Here is a 12,590-nt window from a genome sequence, read left to right as displayed (position 1 = left end):
AAAAAGTAATGCCACGATCATGGCTGCTAATATGATCTCATGGAACCCTGTGAGGGAGGGGCTGTTATCCCCATTTTACAGATAAAGAAACTGACCCTTAGAGAGGATAAATAATTTGCTGTGATAGCTGTCTTAGTTCAGGTCAAGCTTGATTTAAATAACACACGTTTCTGAGGCTGACGCTTAAAATAAAAAATCCCCCTGTGAATGGCAAAGATGCCTTGCTTTGGGAAGTAAATAGCCCTACCCCACAGTCGGTTCGGTTCCCCAGGCTCTGTTTCCTCAAATCTCGGTATTTCAGAGCTTGGTGTTTCAGAAAGGGACTTTAGCTATTAACAGGACAACTTCTTCATGCTGAAGATTAGGGGACTCAGGCCCAAAGAGGTAAGAGAACTGTCCCAGGTCACACAGTCTGACGGCCGCAGAGCTGAGGCTCAAATTCCCGTGCTCCGACTTTCAGGCCTGGGCCGCCGAGTTATTAAGGGACTCTGGCCAGGGAAAGGAAGGGAGGAACCCTGAAGTTTCCATTCCCTCACCTGCGAAATGGGGTCAATCACGGGCCCTCTTTGGGGTTACGTGGGTGTGGCCCAGCCCAGGGGCGGCCACTCTGCACTAGGAATGTGACAATGGACGGTTCAGGGAGGGCTGGAACGTCGGCAGTCCTCAAGGGAGGTGGTGGTAGGGTGTGACGGAGCCAGGGCGGAGCCTCGGGAGCCAGAGGCGTGGATTCGCGAATTCGGGGCGGGGCTTGGGGTTTAAACGTTGAGATGGGGTAGTGGGCGGGGCTTGAGATGCTAGGAATAGGGTTGCGGTCCTTGGGCGGGGCTTCTGGAAGACGGGGCGGGGCTTTGTGAGGCCGCTGGGCGAGTTCTGAAGCAGTGGGAGGGGAGCCGGGCTTAGGGAAGCAGGAGGCTGGTTTAAGGACTCGGATAGGCAGTGCGCGGGGCTCAGAGGAGCTAATGTTCCTGTATTGAGGGGCTCTGGGGGAATCTTTGAGGAGCCAGGGGACGTGGCCTTGCAGAGCCTAGCGGGTCAGTGGGCGGGGCTCTAAGAACCCCGCTCCGGGGTCTAAGGAGCAGTGGGCGTTGCTCGGAGGCGCCTGTGGGCGTGGCCCTCTACCACTCAGATGACTGGAGAGCGGGGCGTGCGCTTGGGCACCGCCTGCATCCCTCGGTGCGACCAGAGGGGGCGTAGCGAGGCGTGGAACGTGGGGTGGGAAGCGGGCTTCCCCTCCGGAAGTGGGCGTGGCGCACAGCGGCCCGGCAGCCCTGGTTGGGTCCCGCGCGGCGCGGGGGCGGGGCCTACGCGCGGTGGCGGGGGCGGTGGCGGCTGCCCGCGCCCCTCCCCCGCACGGCGCTCAGTGCCAGGCTGGAGGCGGCAGCGGTTGGAGGCTTCGCCCGGCTTTGCAGCGGGGACTTCGGCGGCGGCGCCTCAGGCACCTCGGCCCGGGTGAGCGGCTCGCGCCCGGCGGGGGCAGCCTGAGAGCGAGTCGGGCGGGCGGACCTGTCCTCTGAGCATGTGCCTGCGCCGCCTGACAGGAGCCGGCGGGGCGAGGGGCAGGGCTAGGTGGAGGGGACAGTGCTGGGTGGGCGCGCGGGGCGCGGGTTCACGGGCTGGGTTGCAAGGGGTTAGGGCCGGGGGCTGCTGTCGGGGGCTCGGGGAAAGGGAGTTGGGGACCGAACCAGGTGGCGTGGGGAGCGTGAAGCAGGGTCCCTGTGGGGAGGAGGCTTTCGAGGTCCGGAACGCTCCTGGCCGGGTGCGGAGCCGCGGGCCGAGGTGGGACGAGGCTGCCCAGGGAAGGCTTTTAGGGGTCAGGGATCGCCTGCTTGGGCGAGGTGCTGGGAGGGAAGGGCTGCTTCGGGCGAGGCGTAGAGCCCGGGGGCTCCAGGCCTGGGGACTGGGTTTGGGCCGCCCCAGGGAACGAGTGGGTGGGGGCGGGTAGGGGCCGGGCTCACGTGGGGCCGGGGCGAGCTGGGCCCTGCGTCGGGAGGGGCGAGGGCGGCCGCCTGGCCTGCGGGTTTCCTGGCTTTGGGTGCGAGACCAGCTCTGGGCCCTGCAGATCTCGGTTGGGGGTCAGGCGGGGCGGGGCAGAGCTGGAGCTGGAGTAATGTGGGTGGGGGCGGCTTGGGAAGAGGCTGAGCCCGGCCAAGGGAGCAGAGGGCTGGGACTGGCTGGGGGTTGGGAGGGGAGGAACGAAGCAGGAAGGCTGTCGGATCGGGGGCCCAGGGTGTCCGAGTGAACTGGGTGATTCAGAGGTGTGTTTCCCTAATAGCGGGGCAGCTGGCGAGGGACGCAGTAAAAAGGAGCGAGGTGCAGGTGGGGCCCCGCTGCGCCGAAATGACTGAGGATGAGGTCAGACGTGGAGGGTGGGAATGCAGAAACCGAGCTCTCCCGCCTGTCCCCACCGGCGCACGCTCCCCAGCTCTCCGTCTCTCAAATGATTTGAATGTGTTGGGGGAAGTGGCAGGCTGCGGTGAGAGCTGAGAAGAAAGGGGCTTCCTCTTGGAGGGAGGCGCTGGCCCTGGCATCCTTTTTTGGGAGTGTTCAAAGGATTTTGAACGCTGGAAAAGGAATCGTAGGCTTTACTGCATCACGATTTAGAAACACATCCTATATTTGGCCGTAATGTAGGCTGCCCTTGTTTTGTGGTGTCTAAAGTGCTTGCTCTACATGTTGCAAACGTGGGATTCAGAGTGCGAAGCAAATTGCAAGTTGTTCATTTCCCCCGGCATGGTAAGATACAAAGGCTTTTCCCTCCTATAAGACATTTGAAAAGAATTGAATGTAGTGCGCGTTTAATAAACTGGTCCTGGGTGGCGAATATATTTACTTTTGGAAATAGTTACCACAAAATATTAGGCCCTCTTACCGCAGCCTTTCTGCCTGGGATTACATTCTAAAACAGTACTTGTAGGGCTCTTAGTCACTCTATATAATAATGCATCTCATTGTCCTTATCTGGCAGAACGTTCTCCTGACACCAGGGCCTGCTGGAATAGACAGAAACATGATTAAGTATAAGCAGTTGCTTTGTACCGTCTGTTCAGTTGTGAAGGCAAATAGATACCTGTTTAATATTAATTCACTTTCTGCATTCCCTGTAAAACTGAAGAAATGTGCAAAATCTATTTTGGACTTGGTTCTATACATTTCAGATGATTTAAGGAAACTAGTATTTTTGGTTTGGAGGTATGTTTCACAGTCATAATGTTTGGCTATGAAGCATAATAGTAAACATTGGATCTGAGAAATCGCATAAATAAGTAGGGAAAAAAGTGAAATAAAACTGAGAATTGTGTTGTACCTTAGGTCTTGAAGTGCAGTGTTTCGTGGTGGAGGTTAGTCGTGTGTACTGAGGATTGGACAAAGATTTGGTATAAACGTCAGGAGCACACATTTTTGACAAATATAGAACCTATCTTGTCCATATTTATTTTGATTACTTGTGGAAGGTACATTAAAGCCTGATGAATTTTAATAGATACATACCGATGAAACATAACTGCACACAATATTGACTTTTTCATGATCCTTTGTTACTTTGCCTGCAGATTGTGCTAATCAGCATTTATACTTATTTATATATAGTTTAGGATTAGATTCGGTGTCAGTGAATAGCATTTTTTTAAACACCGTTGGATTTTTTGATAAAAGTTTTATGTTTAACTTATCTGTCACTTCTGGGATCCACTCCAACCATGAGGAAGAGAGTCACTCTAACGACTATGAGATGGAATGTTCAAAAGGATGAATATCAATTCTTAGTTATATAAGTGGGTATGTCGACGAGTCTCTTCTTTATGATGGCAAAATTTTAATTTCTCATATTTTGATTTGTCACAAACTGGTACTTTAGAAACATATTATTAATTGGTCTGTTTTACCTTTGACCTCTTTTCCAGGGGTGGGGCAATAATAAATTTGAGAGCTACTTGCATTTTCAAGGTACAAATCCATGTGATAAAACCTCTTAAGCTTGTTTTCCATTTATGACTTCTCTGTGTTACTGTCTCCTTGAATTATGAAAACTCTTTTCTGACACTTGTATGTCTTTTTAAACTTAAGATACCTTTTCTGTATTAAAACAGAATTCTTCATGAATATTTCAGTATGACCTAGTACCTAGAATGTTAAGTAATAGAATCTCTCTGGGTTTTCTTTGCCCTAGTTCAGATCCTTTAAAGTGAGTGAACAAGATTCTGTACTCCTTTCTGAGTACTTTGTATTTCTAGAGTGCAGAATGGAACTTTTTTTGTTTTATAACAGCTTCATTGAGACATACTGTACAGTTCACCCGTTTAAAGTGTACAGTTCTGTGGTTTTTGGTATATTCACAGAGTTGTGCAGCTGTCACCACAGTCAATTTTAGAACATTTTCATCCCCCCCAAAAAGAAACCCCATACCCCTTAGAAGTCCTCCCGTTTCATGTAAATGGAATCATACACTATGTGGTCTTTTGTGTCTTGCCCTTATTTAGCATATTTTCAAGGTTTATATGTGTGGTAGTATTGTATAGTACTTCATTTTTTTTTTTTAATGGTCAAATAATATTCCATTGTTTGGATATGCCGTATTTTGTTTATCCATTCATCAGTTGATGAACATTTGGGTGTTTTTCCTTTTTGGCTATTATGAATAATGCTGTGAACATACGTTTTCATTTCTCCTGAGTATTTACCTAGGAATGTAATCGATGGGTTGTATGGTAACTCTATATTTAACTATTGGAGGAATGGCCAGACTTCTCCAAAGCAGCTGCACCATTTTACGGTATTCACCAAGAGTATATGAAGGTTCTAAATTCTCCACATTCTTGCCAACACTTGTTACTCTCTGACTTTTTGATTCTAGTCATCTGTGTTTCCCTAATGGCTAATGATGTTGAGCATCTTTTCATGTGGTTGGTGAACATTTGTATGTGTAATCTTTGGAGAAATGTCCATTCAAATGCTCTGCCCGTTTTTTAATGGGTTGTCTTTTTATTGGTGTTATAAAAGTTGTTCATGTATTCTAGATTCAAGTGCCTTATCAGCTGTATGATTTGCAAAAATTTTCTTGGATTCTGACATGTCCTTTCATTTTCTTGATGGTGCCCCTTTTTAGGAACAAAGATTTTAAATTTTGATGATTTCCAATTTATGAATAGTGGGGTCTTACTAGTTAGAAATTAGACCTTAAACCACACCCTCCTCAATATTTTGGTTATATAAGTTGAAACCCAAATGTGAGAGGACTGGGGAAAGGTTTGAATTAATATATTTTAAGGTATGCTATAGATGAAAAAGGATTCATCAGGGAACATGCCATTCACCTGTTCAAATCCTCTGGTGACCTCACCTTTACCCACAAAATAAAGTTCAGACTCCTTAATGAGGTGTGGAGTAAGGTGGGCTCTGATTTCAGCCTGCTTTATTTCTCACTATTCCCCTTCCAATGTCTTCATCTCTAGTGCCACTCCCTGAAACATCCCAGCTTTCAAATCTTGTGATGAATTTATTACTTCATCGCCTTTCTACTTCTAGAATCCCACTTGTCCTTTGGGACATGGGTCATGAGGTTTTTCCTCCATGAAAACTTCCTCATCTCACAGGCAGACATTTGTCCCTGCCCTCATGTATTGTACATTCATCAGGACTGTTTGCTACAAAGAACTGGACCTGAATTTGAGCTAATAGTCTGAAAGGTGCCTTTCCATACAAGGCAGAATGCAATAGAGCAATTCACATGGAAGGCAGACTGAGATTCTCTTGTTCATGGCTTGGTCATTAGTGCCTACTGGATATTCGCTGAATGAATGATTGTTTATTGAAGTTAACTGGAAAGATCCTGAGGTCAGTGGGTTTCTCTGATTATCATGAATGTCTTTATTGCCTATGTTAAAATAACATGAATGGGGTAACTCCCTTTTGCCCTTCTGGCATCCAAGTCCAGCTCTTACCAAAAAGTGCTCAAATGTAAAACTGAGTGTTTAAAACATTTCCCCAATGGCAGAACATTCTCGTCCAGGTTCTTTCCCCCGATGAACAGTAATGACTGGCGCACAGTCTCCTCAGTAGGGTAGATGGCCAGCGAACACGATTTAGTCACACCAAATGCATACAGGCCGACCCTGATAGTATTTGGTCAGTTAGTACTGGAACTACCCCTGTCACACTCATGAGAATGGTTGTAAATTGGATTTTAAGGGTGTGTACTTTCTTTTCATTCTTTTTTTTTTTTTTTAATGTTTTGTAGAGATGGGGTCTCACTATGTTGTATAGGCTGGTCTTGAACTCCTGGGCTCAAGCAAGTCTCCTACCTTAGCCTCCGAAAGTGCTAGGATTATAGGCGTGATGCACCATGCCCAGCCTCTTCATTCTTTTGTTCATGCTCTCCTCTCTTGGGGTGTCTGACTCAAATTAGTATTCTTTAGTTATATTTTGTGTTCTTATGTTCATTTTTTTTTTTTTTGAGACAGAGTCTCACTCTGTCGCCCAGGCTAGAGTGCTGGAGTGCAGTGGCACGATCTCAGCTCACTGCAAGCTCTGCCTCCCAGGTTCACGCCGTTCTCCCGCCTCAGCCTCCCAAGTAGCTGGGACTACAGGCGCCCGCCACTACACCCGGCTAATTTTTTGGTATTTTTTAGTAGAGATGGGATTTCACTGTGTTAGCCAGGATGATCTCGATCTCCTGACCTCATAATCCGCCCGCCTCGGCCTCCCAGATTATGTTTATTTTTAAAATACTTTAATTAAAAATATTTCATGCCGGGCGTGGTGGCTCACACCTGTAATCCCAGCACTTTGGGAAGCTGAGGCGGGCAGATCACGAGGTCAGGGGTTTGAGACCAGCCTGGCCAACACGGCCAACCTGTCTCTGCTAAAAATACAAAAATTAGCCGGGTGTGGTGGCACGCGCCTGTAGTCCCAGCTACTCAGGAGGCTGAAGCAGGGGAATTGCTTGAAACCTGGGAGGCAGAGGCTGCAGGGAGCCTAGACTGCGCCATCACACTCCAGCCTGGGCGACAGAGTTGCACTCCAGCCTGGGCGGCAGAGAAAGAATCCGTCTCAAAAAAATAAATAAATAAATAAATAAATTCACTTAGCACCTTTCTGAGAATTAGGAGAAACCAGTTGGCCATTTCGGGATACCTTTTCTTTGTGTGTTCGTTAAAGCTTGGATTGTGGCAAGGTAGTACAGAAGAGAAAGAAAAATGTCAACTTTTTTGTCTAGTTAGGGACAGTGAGCTATGGGTACCTTCTGTAGTTCTCGTTCTAAGAGAGTTTTGTATTTAGGGGAACTGAGGCCGTGAGGGTGCAGGCCTTTAGGGCCAGATAGAGCTGGGCTTCACTCTTGGCTCCGCTTCTTGCTAGCTGTGACTTTGCCAGCTCCCTCACCTCCCTGAGCTTCACTTTCCTCCTCTGTAGTGTGGAGATGCAAAAGGCTTACCTTGCAGGGTCATTGGCAAGATTAAGCAAGGAAAATTATATGAAGTGCCTAATACAGAGTAGGTACTGAATACATTCCTGTTCCCTCTCTTCTCTCTTAAATGTCTGTTAATGAATGGAACTGCAGAGAAGCAAATAGAGTAAGTTTAATACATTTTACATCTGACATTAAGCTATTAAGGGTATGGATTCCTACTCCCACCTGAGGATTTTAGACTTTGAATCAAAGTTGAGTCACTGAAGAGGGCAAAAAATGTCTAATTTTAGGATGGGAAGGCGGTCTTAAAAACACCTCCAGTGTTTTTGCATCTGTCTGAATTGGAAATGTCTATTCAGACAGTCTTCTCTATTCAGGTCTGTGTATTCAGTCTCTCTGTCTGTGTGTCTGTCTGTCCATTTTAAGGAAAGTTCCTGGCAAAAGATGGATTTTTTTAGGATTTGAAGGAGATTGCACTGCAGTGCTTGAGATAACTCTTCTGGTTACAGTGTGATAAAGTGTAACATCCTGTGTGGGAAAAGAGCCTCTATAGTTTTATGGTATGTTAAATTAGGCCTGTCATTTGGATCTTACATTAATAACAAAAATACAGTTCCTCCCGTTTGCTGCAGTAATGAGTAATTAATATAATGCAAAGGTCAGAGTGAGAGAGACTATAAATGGGAGTAGGAAGGCCTATACATTGTATGTGGAAGGCAGTTATATTTTTTCCCCTTTGGTCAGGCAATGATCTACATTTCTTCTTAAAAATTTATGAATAATGGATTATATTTGGCACCAGTATCTCACCATCTTTTAAAGGATATATTATTTTGGGAGATTTGGGAGATTATTGCTCAGGTACAGAGGTCCTCATTCTTGACTGCCTTGTGATGATCATCTGTGGACCTATATGAATCCAGCTGCCTGGGTGTGAGTTCCCTGGTGACTCTGAATCACAGCCAGAACAGGAAGCACTGTGGGCTGGTCTATTCCTCATTTTACAGATGAGGAGACTTTGGTGGCAGGAGCTTGACAGATTTACCCAAGATCAGGAACTTAACTGCCCCTTCCTTTGTGTGGTATGAATTAATTTTTATAGTTAGTTGTGTGAATTTATAGTATAGTGTGGATTTTTTATTTAACAATGTGAACCTGACATGGCTTTCCCTTTGTAGTCTTTGACCCAGTGCAGCAGTTCCATTTGCTTAGCCTTTCGTCATGCTCTTTTGCCAGATCTGCAAACCAAGCCTATTCACGGAGTTTTCTTCAGTTAATCACCACAGTTGGTAGCATGTACCTATGTTGTTGTTGTTGTTGCTTTTTCCCACATATTCAGGTTGTGCATGTATTAAACTGTGAAGTTTGGTCCAGGTTTTTAGGAGGATTTTTAGATGCATTTTTAGGAAACTTGAAAATACATGATATCTCTTGGATAAACCTTTGGTAAACTTGATTTCTATTTTTAATGTAAAGCTCCTTGACAGTATTTTATTGATCCTTTTAAATTTCCTCAGTCTTATAATCTGAGCACTAGTAAGCAGTGGTTTTAAAGATTTGTCTTGTATTTGGAAGACCGATTATTATTGCAAAGGTGCCCTTGCATTGCATCTTGCCAGAAAAATTGGCATTAGTAGGCCGTCTGTATTTGAAAACACCAAGTTTAGACAGGAACAACACAGGCCCAGTACTGAACTATTAATATATAGATTGTAACAGACATAATGAAAACCACTTAGGATTAGCAAAGGTTGATTATTGTTTCACAATGTGGTTGTTCTGTCTTTGGGAAACCAAGACAGACTGCAAGTCTGGTCACATGGTGGTTTGGTGTAAGAGACTTTCTTGCTCCATTGTGGAACTGGGTGTGGGTCCCCATGTCTCAACAACTGCTGAGGCCTTCATTCTGGATGAACAAAGCTGTAGATTTTTCATGAGAGACCATAGTAGACACACATGGGAAAGGAAGTGTTAGGAGAGTGAAGCCGTCAGGCTGTATTTTCTACTTTTGATATCATAGGGGTGCATGACAAAATTCACAAGCATCCCTTCCTTATGACAAATGTTTAATCACCATTATTTGCTTACTTCACAGGAAAGATACTTAAATTCCTTTTCGTAATGGTCAAGCATTCTTTCCTAGTTAAAGATTCTAATTCCTTTCATTCTTAGGAACTTAAAGAATTGACTGATTTATTAACATAAAAACTCAAATGTGGCTGGAGTGGGGACTGAGGAACACACGTGAAAGTGCGCTGTCATCTCTGTTAAGCAGAGGGATTTATTAGGAAACTAGTCACTTTGGAAGCTAGATGGTGAATTAATTTTGTGGTTAGTAGTATCTTTAGCTTAACAATGTCATCCTAGTTTTTCTTGGCAAGCAAGAGAGAGGCTGGAGCCAATGAGGGCTGGCCACAGTTCTTTGGGGGTGATATTTAATAAGATGCACGTTGTCTGTTTTAGAAATAGAGTAACTGTCCTTTAGGCTCTCTCTTCTGTGGGCCACTGTTGCTTTACAGTGCTACTGTAGGAAAAGATAAGTTGGAAGTCTTCTTTTTTCTCCCTAAGACTGCTAGTTTGATCTTTTTATGCATTATGACAGTGTCTTGAGTGCAGTGGACTGAATTACTTTTATCAAGTAGAACAAATAACATATCATACCTTCAAAGGATGGTTATGAACTGTGTGTTTCTCTGAAAGTGAATGAGCAAGAGCCCAGATGAAATTTCTGTTTTGGAGGCAGGCAGTGTGTACATTTGGTCCCCAACTCAAGACTGGGTTGTGTTCCAGAGTCTAACTCAGTTATTTGGAACTCAGATCTACTAGTAGTAATTTCTATCTATTGTGTTGATTCAGCATTGTAAGTGGTGGGTACGTTCCCAGCCTAGACTGAAGGAATCTGTTTAATTCACAGCAGTTTTTGAAATTGTTTATGGTGATAGTGGAATTCTGGATCTTGGGAGCTGGTAGTCATGTGAAAGAGAAGTAAGGACTCATGCCCCATGCCCCAGGAGCCTCCCTGTGCAGGCTGTGTGGCGTCCAGGGGTCTCATGCCACTGCAGCCCTCCAGGTCTGTGCTGGCCCTCCTTGTTCTTCATCCTCCTTCATCTCTCTCTTAATTTGAAGCTTCTACTTCCCTGGTTAAGCTCACTTTCTTTAAATCATGGTAGCAAAGCACATGGTTCAAATTCATTTCCCTGCTAGACTACCGCTGTTATTCAGGGTTGGGATGACTACAGGCTTTATTCATGTCATTTCACTCATGTTCTTTAACCCTTTTAGAGGTGTACAATGTTAATATTTTTAAAGAGGAGGTTCCTTACTGATAAACAGATTGTCTCTTTGAAATGTTTGCATTCAGTCATTACAGCAAGGTTTCAAGGGGAAAGTTGAGCAGAGGCATGTGAAGTCAGGCAGACCCCACGTAAGGAGGCTAGTCCTGATACCTGGAATCAGGAAGAAACCATGCCTGCTTTAGAAAGGTTCTTCCTGTCACTCCAAAACAGTGACTCTGCTAAATTTTTTTCAAAATACTTTCTGATCTTTTTTTTTTCTTTTCCATTTGGGAACTTCACAGCTTGAAAGGGTCTTAGGTTTTGGCGAAGTGGCTTGGTTTCTGTGACCTTTGGAAAGTTGATCAGGGCATGGTAGTGATTGTAAATTGGGGCATCTTATAATGGCCAGAGCTGGGCACTCGTCCTGTCTATTTTTCTATTCTTTTATAAACTTATCAAAAAGTCACTTTTTTCATCAAACAGTGGGAAATTATTGACCTCTCCATTCTGTTAGTGCCTCTGTGAAGGGTTTGAACTACTGGTTTCAAAGAACTCTTTTCATTCAAACATTTTATGATGCAAAATATATTAGGGACTTGATTTTTCTGGTATCATTTAAAAAATTCGTATTCACAAAGTCTTATGGCAAGCTTAATGTTTTGATTTACTTTTAAATTATGTAAAAGTTTAAAAAATACATTACAAGCCTCCTCCAGCCCTCAAGCACATGACTCTTTGATGGTGAATTCTGCAGTATAGACTGTGAGCTCTGTGGGAATTCAGGAGACAGGCGTTGGAGAGTCAGTGTTTGTGGGACACTGGGAGTGAGATCCTGCCTGAGGGTGTGCCTAATAGTACTGGGCTGACTCAGAACTGGTGTAATTAGGGAAGAGTAGTGTAAGATGGGTAGATGAGATGGCCCTGATTATGGAAAGTGATGATAATAGGTTATGCATTTATACAATATGTTAGAGTAAAATGTAAATATAGTTTGGTTATGGAGTTATAAAGGTAGGTGAAAGTGTAATTTGTGGGTGTCACTAGTGTTAGTGATTTCTATGCTAATACTAATTACATCTGGGATTAAATGACTAGAGATTGAGTACAGAATTATTTTACAGTTTGTGAAAGTGAACACCTTATAATACTGCTATATTCCATGTTCCTTAAAGGTAGAGGATATCTTACATTTTTTGGTGCCTCCATTTCCTAGCATATTGCCTGGTGCATAGTAGCTGTTCAATAAATGTTAATTGAGTAATTGAATTTCAACTTTGCATGATACACTTGTGATATTGTCAGTCTTTCCATTTTCCTAGAAGATGAAAGGAATAAAGATGTTTTCTATGGCCTAGGACTACTAATTGTAAATATTTGCCGGGTGCGGTGGCTCATGCCTGTAATCCCAGCACTTTAGGAGGCTGAGGCGGGTGGATCACGAGGTCAGGATGTCGAGACCATCCTGGCTAACATGGTGAAACCCCATCTCTACTAAAAATACAAAAAATTAGCCGGGCGTGGTGGCGGGCGCCTGTAGTCCCAGCTACTCAGGAGGCTGAGGGCAGGAAAATGGCATGAACTCGGAGACAGAGCTTGCAGTGAACTGAGATCGCACCACTGCACTCCAGCCTGGGCAACAAAGAGAGACTCCATCTCAAATAAAAAAAAAAAATTCTTATTATGTTATTATAAACTAACTTCGTAATTTTTATTGTAAATAAATATGTTAGCAAGATGTTTATATGTGTAAATTTACACACACAGATATACATACACATTCCTTTATTGAAACATGCTTTATTTGTAAAGCAAATTTTGGGGTTTTGATTATTTAAAGCATATGTTCTGATAAAAAGCAGGATAACACAACATTTTGGTACTCATCACAAATTAACTTAATTGATTTCTTG

The 12,590-nt window shown here is 44.4% G+C and overlaps 1 protein-coding gene across 2 annotated transcripts in view, besides 4 other annotated features; it reads left to right on the top strand.

The window, feature by feature from the left end:
* Positions 686-1,489: an enhancer, noted in NCBI's record as "H3K27ac hESC enhancer chr12:109125165-109125968 (GRCh37/hg19 assembly coordinates)". NCBI's record gives its function as "activates a minimal SCP1, AML or CMV promoter by ChIP-STARR-seq in primed H9 embryonic stem cells {active_cell/tissue: H9 hESC(primed)}" and the evidence as "EXISTENCE:reporter gene assay evidence [ECO:0000049][PMID:30033119]".
* Positions 686-1,611: a biological region, named in NCBI's record as "H3K27ac hESC enhancer GRCh37_chr12:109125165-109125968".
* Positions 1,102-1,611: a silencer, noted in NCBI's record as "silent region_4832". NCBI's record gives its function as "represses an Ori minimal core promoter by ATAC-STARR-seq in GM12878 lymphoblastoid cells {active_cell/tissue: GM12878}" and the evidence as "EXISTENCE:reporter gene assay evidence [ECO:0000049][PMID:35858748]".
* Positions 1,360-12,590, top strand: part of CORO1C (coronin 1C) — an 86,410-nt gene continuing 75,179 nt past the window's right edge. Inside the window, exon 1 of one of the 2 annotated variants that reach the window (NM_014325.4) lies at positions 1,360-1,449. The gene's annotated coding sequence lies outside the window, so the exon portion shown is untranslated. Of the gene's footprint in view, positions 1,450-2,034; positions 2,256-12,590 lie in introns of those variants that run through there. The other variant, NM_001276471.2, reaches the window with a different exon arrangement.
* Positions 1,802-2,081: a silencer, noted in NCBI's record as "silent region_4831". NCBI's record gives its function as "represses an Ori minimal core promoter by ATAC-STARR-seq in GM12878 lymphoblastoid cells {active_cell/tissue: GM12878}" and the evidence as "EXISTENCE:reporter gene assay evidence [ECO:0000049][PMID:35858748]".

This window comes from Homo sapiens, chromosome 12, assembly GCF_000001405.40.
Source record: "Homo sapiens chromosome 12, GRCh38.p14 Primary Assembly".
Taxonomy (NCBI): domain Eukaryota; kingdom Metazoa; phylum Chordata; class Mammalia; order Primates; family Hominidae; genus Homo; species Homo sapiens.
Note: the sequence above shows the minus strand (reverse complement) of the source record. Positions and strands in the feature narration are given on the sequence as shown.